This window comes from Homo sapiens, chromosome 10 (genome assembly GCF_000001405.40).
Source record: "Homo sapiens chromosome 10, GRCh38.p14 Primary Assembly".
Taxonomy (NCBI): Eukaryota; Metazoa; Chordata; class Mammalia; order Primates; family Hominidae; genus Homo; species Homo sapiens.
In genome coordinates, this window is record NC_000010.11 from 45,932,291 (window position 1) to 45,955,182 (window position 22,892).

The 22,892-nt window shown below is 37.6% G+C and overlaps 3 pseudogenes across 3 annotated transcripts in view; 1 reads left to right on the top strand and 2 right to left on the bottom strand.

The window, feature by feature from the left end:
* Positions 1-22,892, bottom strand: part of PARGP1-AGAP4 (PARGP1-AGAP4 readthrough) — a 146,781-nt pseudogene that overhangs the window by 106,697 nt on the left and 17,192 nt on the right. The gene's annotated exons all lie outside the window — the stretch shown is intronic.
* PARGP1 (PARG pseudogene 1) overlaps positions 1-22,892 on the bottom strand; it is a 117,594-nt pseudogene that overhangs the window by 77,456 nt on the left and 17,246 nt on the right. The window contains exons 3-5 of the transcript NR_029388.2: positions 20,833-20,916; positions 14,547-14,621; positions 7,071-7,157 (exon numbers count right to left, since the gene is read on the bottom strand). The product of NR_029388.2 is annotated as a PARG pseudogene 1 (transcript). The remainder of the gene's footprint in view (positions 1-7,070; positions 7,158-14,546; positions 14,622-20,832; positions 20,917-22,892) is intronic.
* RPL35AP23 (ribosomal protein L35a pseudogene 23) lies at positions 8,169-8,623 on the top strand (annotated as a pseudogene).

Sequence of the window (22,892 nt, forward strand, 5' to 3'; positions counted from 1 at the left end):
GCACGAACCACCACACCCAGACTTAAGTAATTTTTATGGTAGTTCAATGACAGCTTAGCACACTCACAGCGCTATTATAAAATGTGCCATGCAAATCAAGTAACGTGCATACATACATATTATAGTGCTTAATTCTTAATTTAATTAAATTATCCAGTATGAAATAATAATATTATAGTCTGAACTTCACTCTTATTAAGGATGAAACAAAACTAATTTTCCTAAAAGGCTTGAGGACACTCTCTGGAAGCGCACTCTTTGGAGAAAGAATAAAAATGCAAATACATTTGTAGTTAAAACAAATGCTATTACAATGAAAAGATCTTTATTAAAAATGGACAAGTTCTACTCAACAACTCAATTATTTGAAGTAATATCCAATCTAAAAAAATTCAAAATGCAGTCAAACAATGTTGAGAAATCTCAGAAGTCCCTGTGAGCAGGTTTCCCAGTAGAAGGATATCAGATGCAGAAGGATCCTTAGGGATGACCTAGTACATTTCTATTCAGTCTAACTTTCTGCAGTGATGAAAATGTTCTATATCTGTGCTGTCCAGGATGGCAGCCGGCAGCCACATGTGGCATTTGAAATGTGGCTACTGTGACTGAAGAACTGAATTTTAAATTTTCTTTCATTGTAATTAATTTTTATTTAAATAGCCTATGTGGATAGTAGCTAGTGTTTGGACTCCACAGATGTAGTCTTTCTTGATACGCTACTCCAATGAAACAGTCACCAGGGCAACCGAAAGAAGATTCAGGGGTTTTCAGACATATGTAGATACAACTACAGATGATTAAATCTGTAGCTTTTTGTTTAGAGATTTTAAAATACACTTAATTTTATTCAACTGCATCAGGCTACTTTTGGTAACTCCAATTCATTTTAAAAGAAGGATGAAAATGGTCAAATATTCCTCTTGAAGTAATTTTGGTTTTATAGCCCATATAAAAATGAAGGCATATGAGGACTGATGTGGCACATAGCTATATCACATAAAACATTAAGAGGTCAGGTTCAATCTATCATCTAAGGCATTCATCCTCCTTTTGCATGCAGGGAATTAAAGAGGTAAATGGGCCCCTGAAGCGTGAACTTACGGAGCTCAGAAATACAAGAAATAGAACAGCCTCTCCCTTTTACTGAATTCTAGTCACATATTGCTACTTAGTCCAAACACATATTGAACACCCACTTTGTCCAGGACATTAGATTGAGCACTGTGAAAAATAAACACCAAGACAAACAATACAAGGTGTCTGTCCTCTAGAAACTTACTACTTTTTAGGGTAAAAATGCTACACAACAACTATAAAGCCTGGGCACAGTGGTTCATGCCTGTAATCTCAGCACTCTGGGAGGCCAAAGCGGGAGGATTGCTTAAGGGCAAGAGTTTAAGACCAGCTTGGGCAACATAGTGAGACTCGGTCTCTACAAAAAAAAAATTTTTTTTTTTTTTGAGACGGAGTCTCACTCTGTCGCCAGACTGGAGTGCAATGGCGCGATCTCGGCTCACTGCAACCTCTGCCTCCCGGGTTCAAGTGATTCTCCTGCCTCAGCCTCCAGAGAAGCTGCAACTTACGCGCCACCACGCCCAGCTAATTTTTTATTTTTAGTAGAGACAGGGTTTCACCATGTTCGTCAGGATGGTCTCGATCTCTTGACCTCGTGATCTGCTTGCCTCAGCCTCCCGAAGTGCTGGGATTACAGGCATGAGAGCCACCATGCCCGGCCAAAAAAAATTTTACTTAGGTAGGTGTGGTGGTATAGACCTATAGTCCCAGCTACCCTGGAAGCTGAGGTAGGAGGATCTTGCTTAAGCCTAGGAATTTGAGGTTGCGATGAGCCATGATTATGGCACTGCACTCCAGCCTGGAGGACAGAGCAAAGCCCTGTCTCTGGAAAAAAAAGAAACAAAAAAGACTATAGTAAAGGTTATGCATACTGGCCTTACCTTTTCTCTCTACCAATCACCAGTCGCAAATGGTCAACTATCACCTTACACAAAATAATTCCTAAATCTCTCGGTAAGTGATTGTGGTTCAAGGCCCACATTTTTGTGTGCTGGACTACTCTCCCTGAATATCCTGAACTCAGTTCAAGAAACATTAACTGTGCATTAGCCATGGGCTAGAAAATAGTAAGATGCCCTGGAAAAATTGGGCCTCATGAATATTCAGACATTTCGTGGCTATATGATGCCTAATGTAACAAGCACATGGAGTTGTGCACAGGTACTACTGTGAGCACACAGAGGAGTTTTTAGTAGCGGCTGAGAGGACAAAAAAGGATACTCAGAGGAGATAAAAACTGAGCTGAGTCTTGAAGGCTGGATTAAGAAGCAGGCAAACACCATGACAGAGAACCACAAGTAATTTAGAGTCATTAGACCATCAGGTTTCAAGCAGGAAAAGTGGCATGAAATGATGCCAGAGAGGTGGGCAGAGGCAAGGTCATGGAATGCCATAAATATCACCAATAGAGTTGAAAAGAGATGAAATGCCATGGAAGGTTTTAAGATCTATGCTTCAGATAGTTCACTGTGTGTAAGCAGCATGAAGGATGGATTTGAAGGGATCAACTGCACACAGGGGTCGGCTAGGTGATTGTTACAATATACTAGCTGAGTCATGACGATGGTATGGAGGAGACAAGTGTAACAGAAATAGAGCCGAAACTCAAGAAGTATTTAGGAAGTAAAATTATGACATCATACTGTAAGATGAGGAAATGGTAGATGAGCAGAAAAAGGTGGCTGAGGCAGAATAGGGCAGCTAAGATGATTAACAAGTTCTGGCTTGAGTGAATGAATAGATAAATGGTGGAATCATTCACTGACAGAATGTGGAAGAGTGGTGACAAGGATAGTTTTAGGTACTTGTGGCATATCCAGGTGAATAAATCCAATAGTCAATTAGAAGATGGCAGAGAGAAAGAGCAAAAGAAAAAAGATTTGCATATAACCTGCATTAAGTGGTATTGAAAGTTCTCACTATGTTAAGTGCTAGGAACATAACAAAGAACAAATCACAGCCTCATACAAGGAAGCTTATAGAAGATGACTGTAAAACATCAATTACAGAACTTTGAGTGGTAATGATGTGTCAAGGTAGGTTCATCAATTGTAGCAAATGAACCACTCCGGTGGGGGATGTTGATAATGGGGGAGGGTGTGCATGCCTGGGAGTGGGGGATATATGAGAAATCAGTGTATTTTGCTATGAATCTAAAACTGCTCTAAAAAAAGAAAGTCTAGGTCAGGCACGATAGCTCATGCCTGTAATCCCAGCACTTTGGGAGGCCCAACGTGGGCGGATCACCTGAGGTCAGGGATTTGAGACCAGCCTGGCCAACATGGTGAAACCCCATCTCTACTAAAAATATAAAAATTAGCCCGGCAAGGTGGTGCGTGCCTATAATCCCAGCTACTCAGGAGGCTGAGGCAGGAGAATCGCTTGAACCCAGGAGGCGGAGGTTGCAGTGAGCCAAGATCATGCCACTGTACTCCAACCTGCACAACAGACCAAGAGAACATCTCAAAAATAAATAAATAAATAAATAAAGTCAATTGCAGAAGTGATAGTCATGCTGAACACTAAAAGTCAAGGAAGCACTAACCAGGCAGCAGGGAAAGAGGGACAAGGCCAGAAAAGAAACAGTGACATATGTATCCTAAAGTATAATTGTTTTGGACATGCTGCCCTTGAGGAATGGAATAAGACGAGCTTTTCCTTTGAGATAACAAGAAAGAGAAGCATGAGGTATGTTGAAAACCTTAAAATAAAGAAACTTAAAGAATTTACCTTTTAGATGTCCTCAAATCTCTCCAAGAGGTATTAAGTAGGAGCAGACTGATAGTGGAATGTCAGTAAATGTTACAAAACAATGAAAAGGTTTGGAATCCTAGAGTAATAAGGAAATATATAAAAGATGGCAACAGGAAACAAAGGCCTAGTTAAGATTGAATAACATGAACTCTTAGCAAGGCCTATCAGTAAGATTTGTTATTCCCTCTCTCCCTCCTTCCCTCTCTCCTCTCGCCCTTTATTTCTTCCTCCTTCCCTTCCTTCCCCATTACAACTGTGCTCTGCAAAGTGTGCTCCATGGAATACTTGCTACAAAGGAAGTCAAAAGCTGTTACATGGAAGCTGTTTATAAATAAGTTTGAAAAAAAAGAGGTTTAATTAAATAAAGCTAAGCATGTTTCTTTACTTTAAGACTCCTCAGAGCTATTCCCAGAAGAAGGATATAATACCCAGTACATTCCCCCAACTTAACTATTAACCCTTTACTTACGAAGTGTTAATATTTGCGTAATACAACCTGGGACACAGTGGACCAGAAGAAAAGGGATGAACGCAGTGGAGACTCAAAAAACAGAAAGCACAGTAGGAATAAGGGAGTAGAAAACTAGGAGGCTGTGGTGGGAGAAGAATTCTGAGCTCATGGCTTTAGAGAAGGAGCTGGCCCACGGGATAATCAGGTCCAAGCTCTGGTCATTTGTGGTCACATGGGTTAATAAAGTAGAAGGTCTCACACACAGACTGGGTTTGACTAGTAAATGGTTCATCAACATGAATATCAACTGAACCGAAGTTGCCCAAGGCGATGCCAAGTAACAGGAGAGAGGAAAAGAGGTGTCAAAGATGGGCAGATAACAAGAATGGGAAGAGGGAATATAACCAGATGGCAAAGGATTCAAAGGAACGAAGACTGTTGGAAGCTGGTAGGTACTTTCCCTGAGGCTGTGATGCTGCTGCTTTTTTTTTTTTTTTTTTCCCAGTAGAAACAGGGTTTCACCATGTTGGTCAGGCTGGTCTCAAACTCCTGACCTCAAGTGATCTGTCCGCCTCAGCCTCCCAAAGTATTGGGATTACAGGCGTGAGCCACATGCCCAGCCATGTGGTTCTAAATGATGCCAGATCTAAGGCTATGGGCCATTAAGGCCGACTTTTGCTAGAGGGTTTTCTTCTTCTTTCTACCTTGAATTCAAATATTTGAACTTATTGGGCCTCCCTAGTTTTACTCAATTAGTTTTTATGATGAATCTTCCCTTTTCCCTAGCCATTTTCAATTGACCTAATGTTTGGGTAGTATGTTTAATCTGATTCAGCTTCTTTCCTAGGTGCTATGTCAAAGACCGACTCTGACAGCATGTGCCACAGTCCATAGATAAAAATGAGATGTCAGTTACTTAAACTCCCTAAACCTTGGTTTTCCATTCTTCATTTGTAAAACAGAAATATTAATAGCATCTAACTCATGAGGTGGTTGTTAGAATTAAATCAGATAAAGCATACTGCTGACACTATAGTTGGTACATAGAAAACTCTCAGTAATAAGCACTACCACCTCCATCGCCAAAGATAACCAAATAAGATGATCCAGCAAACACAAAGAAGATATGTACAGGGAGGATCTTGTAGAAGAGGTGAGTCTGGGATGAGACAGGCCTATGCCTGCAACAGATAGAAGTGTCCAAGAGAAGTGAGGCTGGAATAGTCTGCAACTTAAGCAGCAGGCATGGAAGAAGGAAAGGATTACAAAGGGAGACAGGAGCCAACTATCAGGAAAGAGGCTATGCATATGGTTACTTAAGGCAGTGAGCAGTTCCAACATTGCACTCCCAGTGGAAGATGCCCTTTGTTTATCTTAGAGCTAGGCTTCTCAGGACTGAGGCAGATTAGACCAAGAGCAAGACCTCAATACATATCACTTTGGAGTTCATTTGAAAATATTCCATATTTCATTATGCTGGAAATGGCCCTTGCTGCAGAAAATGTCTTTTTGTAACACTTTTCATGTAATCAAAGAGCATTTGTGGTGACAAGGCACTATGTCACTCAGCGTACTAAAAACTTTGTTAACACACTATAAAGAAAAATTATTTAGCCTGCTTAGAATCTGACAGACTCTTGTAGTAAATCATTACCTGTCATTATCATCACAATAAATCGAGGATGAGTATTTTTCTCTACTAGTACTAATAGTAAAATAAGGAGAAACACCATTGGCTTAGTCTTTGGTAAACCACAGCACTAACAGCACCCCCTCATATAAAAGGACCAATGGACCTATTTAGTCTTTGATGAGCAAGTTTACCGCTTGTTTAGATAGGCTACACACTGAAACAATATATAAATTTGAAAAACAGATCTAACGTTCTGTTTTTATTTACTCATTATTTTTACCTTCAGATAAAAATACTACAATAGTCCTTCCAGGGTTAAATATGCAATGTTACATGTAGATAAGTGTTCAAAGCATACTCAAAAGGACTACAGAATTTATTTTTATGAGTAGGAACATAAGAAGAATAAATGCAAATTAACAGGAATTATAAATCAAGGCATCATGTTTAACTGTGTTAATAAAATACAAACAAAACAAAACAAAACCCAAAACACTTCAGAGCTAGCTGATAGAGATATAAATCATGGGCAAGATTAAAACACAGAATTATTTTCACTCCTCTAACAGTAGATTTTTGGATAATGAAATCAACACCACAGCAACATTTAAAAAGAATAACTTCTACTGCTATTTGACACAAATGAAGGGTTAGAGTTATAGGACAAACTAAGTACTAGCTTAATTTCATTATTAGAATATAAGAGAAAGTCTACTGAATGAATTTTCACTTTTGAGTATCTATAACTTCTAACCTCTTTGTCCACCACATAAATAAATACAATCCAGATAGTGTTTTGCAAACACAAAATAACAACTCCAACTTCATCAGTGATCTAGTGCATAGAGGGCTCAACTAAGACTGATATTCCATGGTAACTCATCAAGTTTATAAAAGCAAAGTGCCTAGTTCCAATTGGAGTAATCTGTCCTTTGGGATATGCACTATTTAGAAATCATAAATCATAAATATGAGACCCTCAACATATGTCCCCATTCAAAAGCACTCATTAACCAAACCAGGGAGAGAAATTCCACATATTCCATACAAATCTAAAAGTCACAATTGATCTGTTTCAATATTTTAGTGATTCTGATTAGCTCCCTTTTGGCTCCTATAGTTCTCATGAATTAAATTGAGCTGTAAAGTAATGCAGACCTTATGATTCCAGAGACTGTGAGTCACCAAGGGAAGAGGTCCAAAAAGGTTAAATTTCCACTGAACTCCAAATCAGAGGTTCGAAAGCTAGAGAGATAAAGACATTAGCTTTAGTCTTATGAAACATTCAAGGCTGCTTTCATTTGATTAGGAGTTTGGTACAGGCTCTTTGTGACAAATATAACAAAGACACTTGATATTTTTTAAGCTTTGAAGAAAATCCCAGAAAACAGATTATCTACGAAGAATGTTAAATCAAGCTAAGTAATAATGTGTTTATATACATTCAGAAACTTACTTCAGTGTTATCAAAAAACCAAACCAAAACAAAACAAAAAATGACCACCAAAAGGCTATCATGGAAGGAGGCCACATTCCTTCAGTTACTGAATAACGAAATCTGTTGTGATTTAAAAAGGTAGTTATAACAATTTACCGCCTTAGGTCAGCTTTTCCCAAACTATTCTAAAAAGCACTAACCCTACATGAAATGTTTATAGACAGTCTGGGGATAAAGGGGTGGGGATAGGAGGAATGAAGAGAGAAGAAAGAAAAATCCTCTAACAATATTTTTGTTCTAAAATTTTTAATACACAAAAATACTGAGTATATTTGATACAGTTAAAATTACCATGAGATAAGCTACTCATAATAGCATGCCACACCTCAGAAAGCCAGGATGTCCACAGTATACCACATATGCTTGAATGCATTGATGCTCAAGTGATGCATAAACATACAACTATTGTGTTTTACGTTATTGAATCATAGCTGATTTGTGCTGTGATTTTTGCCTAATAATTTCAACATATATTTTAACTTTTTATTATATAATAAAGGCATAAATCAAAACTTAATTTCTTCCAGCCATTACTTTGTGTATGTGAAATAACTTTTTGTAATCTATTTTAATACAAGTTTATGTTCTTTTTTCTGAGTTTCTACTGATGCTCTGTCAATACATTATCATTTTTAAAGTTTTCCATAATCACAAGTTCAAAAACTGTTATTTTAGCTAAACACAGCTATAATAATACATGCCTCAATTTTGGAGACAATGAATTATGTTGTACCTGTTTTTAAAATTTTAAATGGCCTTTCTCTTTCTGCCAACTTGGAGCCTGTGGAGGCCTGCTGGGAACAGGAATACTAAAAGGAAGTATGTCTGGAAGGCTGTGGTCCAAGGCCATTTTTGCTGAGTATAAGTGGGGTCTCCAGAACCAAAGACAGCACACAGCTCTTTTTAAAATAGAAGGTGCTTATGCCCAAAATGAAACAGAATTCTATTCGGGCATAAGATGTGCTTATATATACAAAACAAAGAACAACAAAGTGACTCCTGGTGGCAAACCAAACAAAATCAGAGTAATCTAGGGAAAGGTAACTCGGTCCCAGGGAAATAGTGGCATGGTTCACGCCAAATTCTGAAGCAATCTTCCTGCTAAGGCCACTGGACACAGAATCTGTGTGATGCTGTACCCCTCAAGCATTTAAATTAATGAAAAGTAAATAAATAAAAGTGGATTTGTGCTCTTGGAAAAAAAAGTAAAAAAAAAATTTAAATGACAGAAACAGTTCTGAAGAAAAAGACAGATGTAATAACATGATCAACTTAATTTGCATCATTCAAAACTCAATATGATGTCCCATTTACCTTTTAAATTAAGTAGCACATAAATAAAAATGCAAGTTCAATACTAATAGAATTACACACTCTTATTTACAGTGATAGAGGCTTTAAACAGTCTTTCTCTGACAAGTCATAGGACAAGAGCTGATAGGAGAATGCGTAGTCGATATTTTAATAACTACAGCGAAGACAAAAGATGCACAATTTCTAAGTTGCAATAATCTATTTTGTATGTATGATTTGAAGTAAAGACTTTATGCTATACATCTATATTTAAATTGTGGTTTACAAAGAGAAACATATTACTAGCCTCATCACAGCAACATAATCATTCTAAAGTCTAGGTTTTTCATTTTTTACTTTTAAATGTCCTCTCCTTCCTGTACTCCTATCTCTCACTCTCTACCTTTACCAGCCACAGATGCAAAAAACAAAAGCAAAACCAAAACCACTTCATTTTGTTATTTATGACAGCCTTCATGGAAAAACCAATGGAAGGATGAAACGAAAGGCTTATACATTTCTATCTTTTCAATTCCAGACATAAAACTCAACATGGAAAGGAAGATGAAATAGTCACTAAAATCCTTAGGCTTCCTTTCAACAATTAATCCATTTTCTTAAGAAGTTTGCTACATAAATCAATTGCAGATTTAAAGCTCTTTATAATAACATTTTATGCTTACTGTGAATATTCAAAAAGTACATAAAAATATATATGTATAGTCTAATGAATAAATATAAAACAAATATCCAAGTCCAGAAATAGAAGCCAACATTGCAGAAACAGAAGAAACCCCCTTAAAAATACATCCCCCATGCCCTTCAGTTACTACAGCTTTAATGTAAATTTCACAAGTTAACACACTATAAGTGAAATGAAACAGTGCCACAGGTGTTGTAAAAGAGGAGTATTTGGCTGGGCACGGTGGCTCATACCTGTAATCCCAGCACTTTGGGAGGCCAAGGTGGGTGGATCACCTGAGGTCAGGAGTTCGAGACTAGCCTGACCAAGATGGTGAAACCCTGTCTCTACTAAAAATACAAAAATTAGCCTGGCGTGGTGGTGGGTGCCTATAATTCCAGCTACTCAGGAGGCTGAGGCGGGAGAATCACTTGAACCTGGGAGGCAGAGGTTGCAGTGGGCCGAGATCGTGCCACTCCACTCCAGCCTGAGTGACAGAGAAAGACTCTGTCTCAAAAAAAAAAAAAAAAAAAAGAGAAGTATTTAAAAATTCCTCCAAGATGCATTGATAGAGGACTTTTATAACATATAGAACATTTTGTTCAACTTTCCAGTGAAAAATGCCAGGAGTAAGTACATTGATTCATTTAGAATATAAATTACAGAAGTGTTTGAATTTAATTTTGTGAAACACCACACAGGAGGGCCATAAAACACAGATTGTGTGTTTGTAGCACTTCCAGCAGCTGGCAGTGAGGAAGACCAATATTAGCCCTGAAGTTGCAGAAAACACTAAATAACAGCCATTTCGACTCAGTAGCATCTAAATATATAATTATAAATAACAAATTAACAGATTGGTCTCTGTGATCTTTGCTGGTTTCTGAAAAACTAATAAAAGCTTAGGTAATACTCCTTACTTCCATTCCAGTAGAGGTGCTCACACACCAGGGTGGGCTTCTGGGCACCTTACCTCCTGTGCTAGAGACCAGAATGTACATAATTATGGTACCATGGATTCACAATGACTGTTGACATGAACTCCTCTTGTTGTAAGGTAGTTTGGGTTACAAAATCCTTTACTTACAGAATTAATCAAAGAAAGGTTTTAAGGAGATAAATATCAACAGCTTCAAAATAAACGTAACTGCAAAATATTAATCTTAATACGATGTCAAATTTAATTCTTTTCCTTAATAAAACAAGCCACTCAGAGTTCAATGTGACATTTAAGTAAAGAATTTCCAAATTCTGGCTGGGAGCAGCCGCTCACACCTGTAATCCCAACACTTTTGGAGGCCGAGGTGTGCAGATCACTTGAGGTCAGGAGTTCGAGACCAGCCTGGCCAATATAGTGAAACCCTGTCTCTATCAAAAATCCAAAAATTAGCCAGGTGTGGTGGTGCATGCCTGTAGTCCCAGCTACTCAGGAGGCTGAGGCACAAGAATTGCTTGAACCTGGGAGGTGGAGGTTACAATGAGCCGAGATCATTCCACTGCACTCCAGCCTGGCCAATAGAGTGAGATACTGTCTCAAAACAACAAAAAATTAGAAAATAAAAATTGAAAATATTGCCAAACCCTGCTAATAAACAATGTTTAAGAACCGTTAGTTTAAGGTCGAGCGCGGTGGCTCATGCCTGTAATCCCAGCACTTTGGGAGGCCGAGGCGGGCGGATCACGAGGTCAAGAGATCGAGACCAACATGGCCAACATGGTGAAACCCCGTCTCTAATAAAAATACAAAAATTAGCTGGGTGTGGTGGCGCACGTCTGTAGTCCCAGCTACTCGGGAAGCTGAGGCAGGCGAATGGCTTGAACCCAGGAGGTGGAAGTTGCAGTGAGCCGAGATTACACCACTGCATTCCAGTCTGGTGACAGAGCTAGAATCCATCTCGAAAATAAAGAACGCTTTATAGGCCAGGCACAGTGGCTCATGCCTATAATCCCAGAACTTTGGGAGGCTGAGGAGTGAAGATTGCTTGAGCCCAAGAGTTCAAGACCAGCCTGGGTAACAATGGTGAAACCCTGTCTCTACAAAAAAATACAAAAAACTAGCCAGGTGTGGTAGCACATGCCTGTAGTCCCAGCTAAACGGGAGGCTAAAGTGGGAGAATGTATACAGCCCCGGAGGTTGAGGCTGCAGTGAGCTGTGACAGCACCACTGCACTATAGCCTGGCTTTAAATAAAAAAATAAAAGAACCCTTTATAAACAAGCATTCCTAGTACAGAACATAAGACACTGAAAATGCAAACCAAATATAATTTATTTTCAACTTAAAACCAAACCAAACAATTGTTTCCCTTGCGCTAAAAATCTTTTCTTCCACCAATCCCACCTATATAGGTATGTCTGACACTTAATTCTCACTAACCACTGCAAGTGTGGGCAATGTTGTCCCTGTGGGTCATGACTTGCTAAAGTTCTAGAATAATATCTGGAGATTTGATGGATAGAAAAATAAACAAGTGTATTAAACATCCAAGGTATTTTGTTAAGTACACTCATAATGACAGAATAGCAAACAATCACAGGGAGAACCACCTTCAAATCTCTAGATAAGCTTTACACAAATTTCCTCAAATCTCCAACAAACACAGGAATGGATGAACAGACAATTTATCAATTTGATGGAATATTATTGCAACCATTAAGGCTAAACATTATAAAGTTATATAACACAGAAGATTTTATAATACAGCATAAATTTTAAACATACATTTATATCTAGCTATAAGACATCATATATATGGGCAAAGACTTAAAAAGAATACAACAAGAAATAAATACTTAGTGTAGTTGTGGGGACTTCTCCAACCCTCCATATGTTTACAAAGTAAATACAAATCAGAAGGTCTGGTTGGGGGCGGTGGCTCACACCTGTAATCCCAGCACTTTGGGAGGCCGAGTTGGGTGGATCACTTAAGGTCAGGAATTTGGGACCAGCCTGGCCAACATGGCAAAACCCCATCTCTACTAAAAATACAAAAATTAGCCGGGCAACGTGGCGGGCACCTGTAATCCCAGCTACTTGGAAGGCTGAGGCAAGAGAATCGCTTGAACCCGCGAGGCAGAAATTGCAGTGAGCTGAGATTGTGCCGCTGCACTCCAGCCTGGGTGACAGAGTGAGACTCCATTTCATAAATAAATAAATAAATAAATATTAGAAGGTCGAAAACGCAAGGACTCTTCTCCCTAAAGAACTGTAAAACCATCATCAGCACCTGAGTAATCATCTCATATTTATGATCTACACTAAACACACCAAAACTTGCTATATGTTACCCGTTTCAGGCATGCTTCTGGGCAAGGTCACCAGATAAAGGGGAAACAAGGTCCTGTCTGAGTATTCTGATTAAGAAGAGAGAAAAAAATGACTACTTCATAGCAAGGTGACAGAGGTATTGTAACCAACGGCATGTTTTACTGCCATCTCAAGGTATTAAATTATACATTACTTCTTACCCCAATTAACCATCATATCCAATTTAAGCCCAGAAACTTACAATACAAATGTTATGTCCTGATAACTTAAGTGACAAGGATAATGATTATATCGGTTTGATCTACTTTTCATCATATCAGATATTACATTGCTGTTACAGTGAAAGACATTTAGATTCAAGGATATCTGAGATATCCAATTTCCAGACACAAGGATAAGTCTTCCATTATTTATGCCTGCCTTGTAAAAGCCATATGGGTCAAAAGCTCAATAAGATAATTCTGAAATTACTGGCACTACCTCGAAATGCAGAATTAGTTTGGATTCTATTAACGTGATGTAAGAATTGCCCTTAGCACCTAGGTTTTTTGCAGAAATTAACAAATTAATCCTAAAATTCAGAGTGAAATGCAAAGAATCCAAAAACAGCCAAAACAAATTTGAAAAAGACCAAAGTTACAGGACACACACTTCCTGATTTTAAAACTTACCACAAAGCTATGGAACCAAGACTGTGTGGTACTGGCACAAGGACAGACATACAGATCAGTGTCGTAGAACTGAGAGGCCAGAAACAATCCTTACGTCAACTGGTTTTGAAAAGGTGCCAAGACAATTCAACACGGGATAGAAGAGTCTTTTCAACAAATGGTGCTGGGACAACTTGTTATCCACATGCAAAATAATGAAGTTGAACTCCTACCTTATACCACATATGAAAATTAACTCGAAATGGATATTCACATGGAAAATAATAAAATTGGACTTCTAATTTACATCATATACAAAAATTAACACAAAATGGGTAATGGTCATAGTGTAAGAGCTAAAGCTATAAAATTCTTAGAAGAAACATAAATCTTCATGAACTTAGATTAGCTTCTTAAATATGATCCCGAAAACAGAAGAAAAGAAAAAAAATAATAAACTGACTTTGTCAAAATTAAAAATTTTTGAGCTTCAAAGTGTAACATCAAGAAAAAGAAAAAAAAAAAACACAAAATGGGAGAAAATATTTGCAAATCATATATCTGGTAAGGAACCTGCATCTAAAATATACAAAGAATGCCTAAAATTCAATAATAAAGACAAAAAATTTGAATAGGTATTTTTCCAAAGAAGATATAGAAATGGCCAATAGACAAATGAAAAGACTCTCTCTGCTGATGGTACTATGAAAGTGATATTCTTATCCACTACTGGCAGCATAGTAAATTGCTACAATTAATCTGTGGAAAAATGATTTTATGGCAAAAGTTTTTAAAAGATTTTTAAACAAATGTTTTGTGCCCTTTGACTTAGTCATCTAATTTCTGGAAATCACCTAAAGAAACAATATCAAATATGGGAAAATATATATACATATATAATGATGTTGCCACTATGTAACTGAAGGTAAAACTGGATGCAACCTGTATGTTTGAGAATATAAGAACCATTATATTCTCAAAATCTAGTCATGGACTATTATACATTCCTTGATAATGCTGATAATGGTATGAAAATATAACAGAAAATGTGTGTTCTAAGAGATGAAAACAAAATTCAATATTAACTCCTAATTGTATTTACCTAAAACATACATATAAAATAACAGCAAATTTATAAAACTAAAAGATAATTATCTTAGCGTGGCAGAATTATGGGTATTCTTCTCAAACCTTCTTATTGAGTTGTCAATAATATTTTCATAAAGAAATAGGGATACTTTTACCTTATCCCAGAAATCGATCAAAGCTGTAAAGTCCCATTTCTTAGAATATGCCACAGTGTATTTCAGAATAGCATCCTGTGGAAAATGCAGAAACAAAACGTCATGGTATGGCCAAGTGAATGACCTATGAAGAGCCTGTCTCTTATGAATTACCTCCAGTATATTTCATAATGTTAGACAAGCTTCCGACTACCTCCCCCTGCTACTGATATGGACATCAGTAGCTACAGACAAACAGAATGATTACTAATTTATTACTCACTTTAAAAAATGAGATTAGAACGGTCAAGTAATAGGTGAAAAAACACAATTACACCCTAAAGCATGCATTCTAAATAAGGTGATATACTCCAAATAGACAAAAACTGTATCTTGAGGGGTAAAAAATAAACTTAGTTATCACAATTGTTGGTGGTCCTTGAAAGCATCAGATTATATATACACAGACATACACAGCAGATTTGTAGTATGAAAATTTCATGGGTCAGTTAATAGGGTTGAGGCATAAATTTTTTTGTAAAAAATAAAAAATAAAAATTTCATGGGGACGAGGAGATTAGGAAAAAAGTATTTAAAAACTGTCTTTTTTCCTTTACTATAAAGTATTTTTATACTATATATAAATTATTATCTTCCTCCAGCAGTTCACATAAATTACACATTTATGTAGAATGAAAAGTCAAAATATTATGCCATCTACTGGTGTAGCTTTTAACTGTTTGAATAGGCAATACTATACATCTGGTTTCCAGAGTCAGGTATGCATAAGACAATCCACTAGATGTGCAGAAACAACTATTTATTTATAATTATCTTTTATCTCATCCTTTTAAATATCTACTTTGGTTTTATTTTATACTGTACATATTACATTAATAAAGTAATAGATATGTAGAATTTATAAATGACTATTTATATTGGTAATACACACTCAAAATTTTTTTACTGAGGCACACAGGTCTGAAAACCACTGTTAGATTATTACTATAAATCTTCCAAATTTCGTTATCATTGAATAAGTTTTTAAAAAATTAATACTCTGTCAAAGCTTCCTGAATAGTACTTCATGCCATACTAAGTATCTAGGTTAAAAGATGAGCCAACAAAATGTGTCTTATTCACTTGGAATCAGGGGACATCCAAGTTCCTTAAGAAAAGAAAAGAGAAGAGAAGAGAAGATAAAAGAAAAGAAAAATCTTCCGTAAAATAAGATAGCAAGAAAGAGTGAAAGAGTCTTTATTTTTCACTCACAAGTCATACATAACATTTTCCATTAAGAATTAAGAGATTTTAGGCTGACGCAGTGGCTCGCGCCTGTAATCCCAGCACTTTGGGAGGCTGAGGCGGGCGGATCACAATGTCAGGAGATCGAGAGCATTCTGGCCAACATGGTGAAACCATGTCTCTAATAAAAATACAAAAATTAGCTGGGTGTGGTGGCATATGCTTGTAATCCCAGCTACTTGGGAGGCTGAGGCAGGAGACTCACTTGAACCAGGGAGTCAGATGTTGCAGTGAGCCGAGGTCGTGCCACTGCACTCCAGCCTGGGTGACAGAGCGAGACTCCGTCTCAAAAAAAAAAAAAAAAAAAAAAAGAATTAAGAGATTTTGGCCTGCATGGTGGCTCGCGCCTGTAATCATAGCACACTCTGGGAGGCCGAGGCAGGTGAATCGCTTGAGTCCAGGAGTTCGAGACTAGCCTGGGCAACATGACAAGATCCCTAGAAAAAAATACAAAAATTAACCAGGCATGGTTGGTGCATGCCTGTAGTCTCAGCTACATGAGGGTGCTGAGATGGGAGGATCGCTTGAGCAAAGGAGGTTGAGGTTGCAGTGAGCCGAGATTGGACCACTGCACTCCAGCCTGGGTGACAGAGCAAGATCCTGTCTCAGAAAAAAAAAAAGAAAGAAAAAAAAAATTAAAAGATTTTAAGGATTTTTTTTCCAATCACTGGTATCTAATTTCAAAACTTCATAAAGTATTAAACAGAAATGTGTATCAATAGGTGAAGGAATAAACAATGCATATACTGGAGCAAACTATCAATACATTGAACAACATGGATGAATCTCAAAATTATCTTCATTTTGAGTGAATGAAGCCAGACACACCCACTATGATTCAATTCATGCAGAATGTAAACTATAGTGAAAAAGAACAGATTAGTAGTTGTCTGGGGCCAGAGCAGAAAGTGGAATGGACTGCAAAGTGGGGAGAGGAATCTTTGGGGATGATACAAACATTCTGTATCTTGATTATAATGGGAGCTTCATGGTATGTGTAAATGTCAAAACTCATCAAATGACACACTTTAAAAGGATAAACTTTCTTATCCATATGTTATTATTCCTCAAAGTTGGTAAGGAAAAAAATTTTAAGTAGCAATTGCATTCTAATTCTTCACTGTAATTCTCTAATTATTTTAGTGTTTTATAATTAGCATTAAGCTTTAGCTCGTATTTATTTTTACTTCAGTCTTCAAGTCTCAAAAGTAGTCCACCATGAGGTTGCCTGTCATTAGAAAAACTGGATACTACTCTGTACTCTTGAGTTATCAACTACTGAGTAAGTTCTTTATAGTTCATAATTCACAATAAGCACAAAAAATTCTTTCTGTGCAAATTATCACACACATTATTTATATAAGTACTACTGTGTAAATCAACTTTTGAGGACACTATTACTTTTTAAAATTCTGAATGTCTCTAATCCCTCTAAATCCAACATTAAATGGTATATGAACAGCAAAAAAATCATTATATTCAATTAGAGGGGTTTAATGTTTCCCTCTTCCTCTCTCAAAGCATTCTTTCAGCAAAGGAAACAATTACCATAAGCAGACAGAAAAATATCTCGATGGATTACTCTGTTCTATTGAATCTACCATAAGAGAAACACAAAAAGGAAATTCAGATTAAAGCAATTACCCCTTCCTGAAATAATCATGGTGCACTAAGGAATTGCTAGAGAGGTAAGCAGACTGTGTAAGTTAAAACACTATAGTTATTCTTTTCCTTTTTTTCAAATATGGAGTTTCGCTCTTTGTTGCCCAGGCTAGAGTGCAGTGGCATGATCTCGGCTCACTGCAACCTCTGCCTCCTGGGTTCAAGCGATTCTCCTGTCTCAGCCTCCTGAGTAGCGGGGATTACAGGCACCCGCCACCATGCCCGGCTAATTTTTATATTTTTAGTAGAGATGAGGTTTCACCATGTTGGCCAGGATGGTCTCAAACTCCTGACCTCTGGCGACCTGCCTGCCTCGGCCTCCCAAAGTGCTGGGGTTACAGGCTTGAGCCACCGCACCTGGCCTCACTATAATTATTCTATTTGCAGTTGAAGAAATATAAAAATTCTTAAAAACAGCCTCTGTTTAGAAGAATAAAAATAAAGAACCTAAGATAGTGTTCATCAAATGGACTCCGGGTAGTATTCCTGGGCAGCCTGTTTCTATGTGAGTTTATAATTTTGTTTTTAGAAAACAACAGCCAAATAACAACACGCTGTACGAATGAAGGCTGGTACTATTAATAGACAAAAACAGTGAAAAGATTGAGCTGTCCTACTATACACCACAGTACAGGTATGTTAAATTCTAACGAACCTTCATCCAGATGTGGTAATTACATGCCTGTAATCCCAGTACTTTGGGAGGCCAAGGCAGGTGGATCACTTGAGCTCAGGAGTTTGAGACCAGCATGGGTAACATGGCAAGACCCAGTGTCTCAGCCAAAAAATATAAAAAATTAGCCCAGTGTGGTGGCATGCACCTGTGGCACATGCCTGTAACATTATACTAAAATCAAGTAAACTCTAGCAGAACTTGAGATTTTTTTCCAGCTACTCAGGAGGCTGAGGCACGAGAATCGCTTGAGCCAGGGAGGTGTAGGTTGCAGTGAGCTGAGATCGTGCCACTGCGATCTGATGTTCTATTTAAGGATCCCATCTTTGTATCCACCAACACCCCTCAACTGTTCATGATTAGTAGGAAAAGTAATAATTGCAAAATAATTTCTTCTTTATGTAGTATTTTAAAGAATTTCTCAGCATACTATTTTGGGGTTTGGATCAGCGGTTTGAAAATTTCTGTGCAAAAAAAGGAATAATGACTACAAATTGTTTTCACTGTGATAATAAATACAAATCAAATGATGGTTCATTATACCTGAAATTAAAAAAGAAAATCAAACTGATATAGCTGTATAAGCACTACAGGTATAGGGAGTTAGCTGGGAGCAGTGACTCATGCCTATAATCCCAGCCAGCACCTTGGGAGGCCAAGGCCAGGTGGATCACTTGAGCCCAGGAGTTGGAGACCAGCCTAGGGAACACAGAGAAACCCTGTCTCTACAAAAAACTAAAATAAACAAAATTAGTCTGGGCATGGTGGCATACACCTGTAGTCCCCGCTACTCAGGAGGCTGAGATGAGGATTGCTTGAGTCTGGGAAGCAGAGGTTGCAGTGAGCTGTGATCACCCCACTGCACTCCACCCTAGGTGATGGAGCAAGACCCAGCTTCAAATTAAAAAAAAAAAAAAAAAAAATATACACACACACACACACACACACACACACACACACACACATATGGAGTTTATATTTAGTTTTATGTTTGTATACACATAATTAACATTATACTAAAACTAAGCAAACTCTAGCAGAACTTGAGATTGTTTCCATTTAAAGAGTTTGCTTTCTGTAGTTGTGAGCCTGAGTGGTTAGCGTATTGCTGGTATTGCTGGAGGCAGGGTTGATCCCTCACCTGATACTTGCGTTCAAGATAATCTAAATTGTGTTAGGGAAGGGACTGACTGTACTCATGGCTAACCTGATATATTAAAATAAGGCTGCCCCTAAAACCTTCTTAGTCACACAGGATCCCTGTAGCCAAAACAGTATATGTTCCAGCTGCAGAGAGCAGACTGCTCTCAGCTTGCACAGCACCTTAGGTGTGGGAAGAATATATGGATAGGGAATGGGGTGGAGAAAGAAGGACGGAAATGTTGTCACCCAGGTGGTTTTAGGGTCTAAGGAGTGGAAAAGGATGGCACTGGGGAGGTCTTCATGGATCTGTGTAGGAGTTCCCTGTAGATAAATCACTGATCCCCCATCTACTATCCCCAGTATGTAATGGCTGAATTAATACGTAATCAACTGCATTGTATCTACAGCCTTAGAACTAGTCAGGTGCTCCTCCCACCTAATACCATTTCTTACCCCGTAATCCTACCTGATTTTTAACAAACCATTAATAATTCTAATGATAATCTCTATTTTGTTTTGTTTTTTTCTAACTGTTTTAAATAAATCAATTTGTACTGTAAAAAAGAAAAATAAACAGCCTGCTTTTTTTTTCTTTTTTTAAAAAAAGAGCCCATTAGAAGATTGAGAAACACTGTCCCCAAGGAATAAAGCCTTCAAAATACATTATGGTATAACATATCAATGTTTTCCATGTAAAGAAAAAAAACAGGAGCTACAGAAAGGTATAGAAAGTTTAACAATAACTTGCAAGTATCAGTAGAAAATATTAAGAAAGCTGAGAAACTATACACAACAAATTAAGTCTCTGAAAGAAAATAAAACTCATTTTCATAGAGGTACAAAAAATTCTGTCACTGTTTATATTTATAAAAACATGAAAAGTTTTCATGGCTATAGTGTCCCCAAAATATAAATATATATATATATATATATATATATATATATATATATATATATATATACACACACACACACACACACACACACACACTCACTCATATTTTAGATATTAGAAAAACAATCTACTAGTTACCCTTGCAGTCATAAATGAAATATAAATATATCAAAAATAAATTATTGCCAAAATATAAGATGAGTAAATTATTAAACTGCTAGGAGCTATATTAAGGGCAGAATTGGGAAACTCAGCTTCCCTTTGGGCAAATATTGCTGAAGTCATAATTCTTTCCTGATTTACTTTTAAAGATATTTCAGAAACATGATAATTTTAAAACAAAAAAAAGAAAGAGAAGCTTGAACTGAAGGAAATCGGATGGGGAATCAAGAAACAGAGGTATTATTCCTGGTTCTCCAAATTATTCTGTGTGGCTCCTGGCAAGGCATTTGCAACTCTCAGTTCTTCTCATTTCCTAGTAGAATGTCTCTAAGGAGCCTTCCTTAGTGCCAGGAAGCAAGCACTCTGCATCTAAAGAATGTTGCTACCTGAGTCTATTAAGACCAAAAAGTCTTCGAAAGAGGAGACACAGGGCCCATAAAGAGGCAAGCATGGTAAAAACAACATACCTTCAAGTTTTGGGGTCGTGTAAATTTGTTGAGAAGTGCAGTCTGAATGAGCTCCCACCGGCTCCCCGCAGTTCGCTCACCATTCTTTTGGAAAAAAGAAAAACGTATGAGGAAGCTATTCTAAGTTCTTTTGCATCACAGAATCAAAGGTCAAACAAGCAAGTACCAAACCATTTTTCAGAGACTAAAAGAATCTCGGTTTTGTTCTTCCCTCATCTTCCACTGGGTACAAATTTTGTTCTGAACAAGGCATTTTAACATGCTTGTTATCCCACAAATCTTTATAATGTGTTGGAAAAGGTTTAGGAACTTCTCCTGCTCGCAAAAGATCTACCTGAAATTGAGGGTAAACAAAATTGTCAGTGCATAAAAACAAAATGTATCTTCTATAAAATAATCCTAAGTAACCAAAGCAAATGCTATAAAATAGAGACCAGCTCCCAGGCAAGAAATCACCAAAGAACCCTTCAGTTCTTCCCATTCCTCACCTCCATTCAACCAGGTTCCAAGTCACCAGATATAGTATATATTCTAGCTCCATATTCCCTAGGAATCCTTCCTTGCCTCAGCTTTTACTGTTTCCTATCCTTCTCCCTAACTCCAGCTGTTGCTAGACACATCTAGCCCCCATAAAACCCTTTCTAAAGAACTCCCAGGCTTCTAATGCTATAACGCCTATACTCTGATTCTAAATGTCATCCTGATTTTCATATACTTTCTTATCAGAACACCATTCATTCCAAACAAGTCTTAAACAACACTTAAAATTCCTTAAACATAGCAAATTCATTTTCATATTTATATGCCTGTATACATACTACTGTGGCCTCTCTTTTTAATACCACTACTACCAATTGCCACCTCCCCCACTGTATCTGGTTAAATCTCTATTGTCACCTTCATAGCTCTGCCAGATTTTCATTATCTTTATGAAGTCTTTAGAAACTTCAAAGTAGGCAGCTATTTATCTTGTTTTGTTAGATTATTATCATGCTAGAGCACACTTGTCTTCCTCTCCCTCACTAGATCCCAAACTTCCTGAAAATAACCATATTAACTTTGTATTCTGAATATGTAAGATAGAACCTGGTATGTGTACATGTGTACGTGTATACATGCAAATATATATATACACACATATGCTACTATAATAACTATTAAGTAAATGTTTGAGGAAGTGGTACAGTAGGTAGCCAGTCAGACATGAGCAGGGCAGGACAGGGCCCCTACCACTACCAGGAATGTCAGACAACCCTCAAGTGATGCACAGGGAGTTGTGAAACTGCCTCTCTAAAATAATTGGAAGCAGCCGGCGCCAGGGAAAGGAGTCACCCAATAGATAGAAAAATCTGAAATTGGTGATCAGCAGCTTCCTGTTAAGATCTTAGGAGTTGGGCAAGTCAGCTCCAGCATGTGTACTAGGGAGCAAAATGGCAAAGTTTAACTGGTATATGACCTTATAAGAACACTCAACTGGTAAGGGAAGAATACCTCAAGCAAGCATGTGTACAACTCCAGTAATCACACCGCGCATGCAGACAGCCCATCTCAAGGGAAGAATCAGGGGAGAAGGGGACACAACCCCCTGGAAGCATGCCAACATATAAAACCTCAAGTCAAAGGTCAAACTGTGTACTTGATCTCTCAAGTCGCCCGCTTGGCCCTCTTCCAAGTGTACTTTACTTCCTTTCATTCCTGCTCTAAAGCTTTTTAATGAACTTTCACTCCTGCTCTAAAACTTGCCTTGGTCTCTCATTCTGCCTTATGCCTCTCAATCAAATCCTTTCTTCTAAGGAGGAGTATTAACATTGCTGCAGACCCATATAGATTTGCCACTGGTAAGAGAAAGAGATTATGGTTTAAAGTTTAACATTATGCCTATTCTGGATATTTCATATAAAAGAAATCATATAATATGTGGCCTTTTGTGTCTGGCCTTTTTCACTTAGCATAATGTTTTCAAGATTAATCCATGTGGTAGTATGTATGAGTACTTCACCGCAGAGCATAATCACATAAATATATAATTTCACTTGTAATATGTTATGAATATGAGGAAC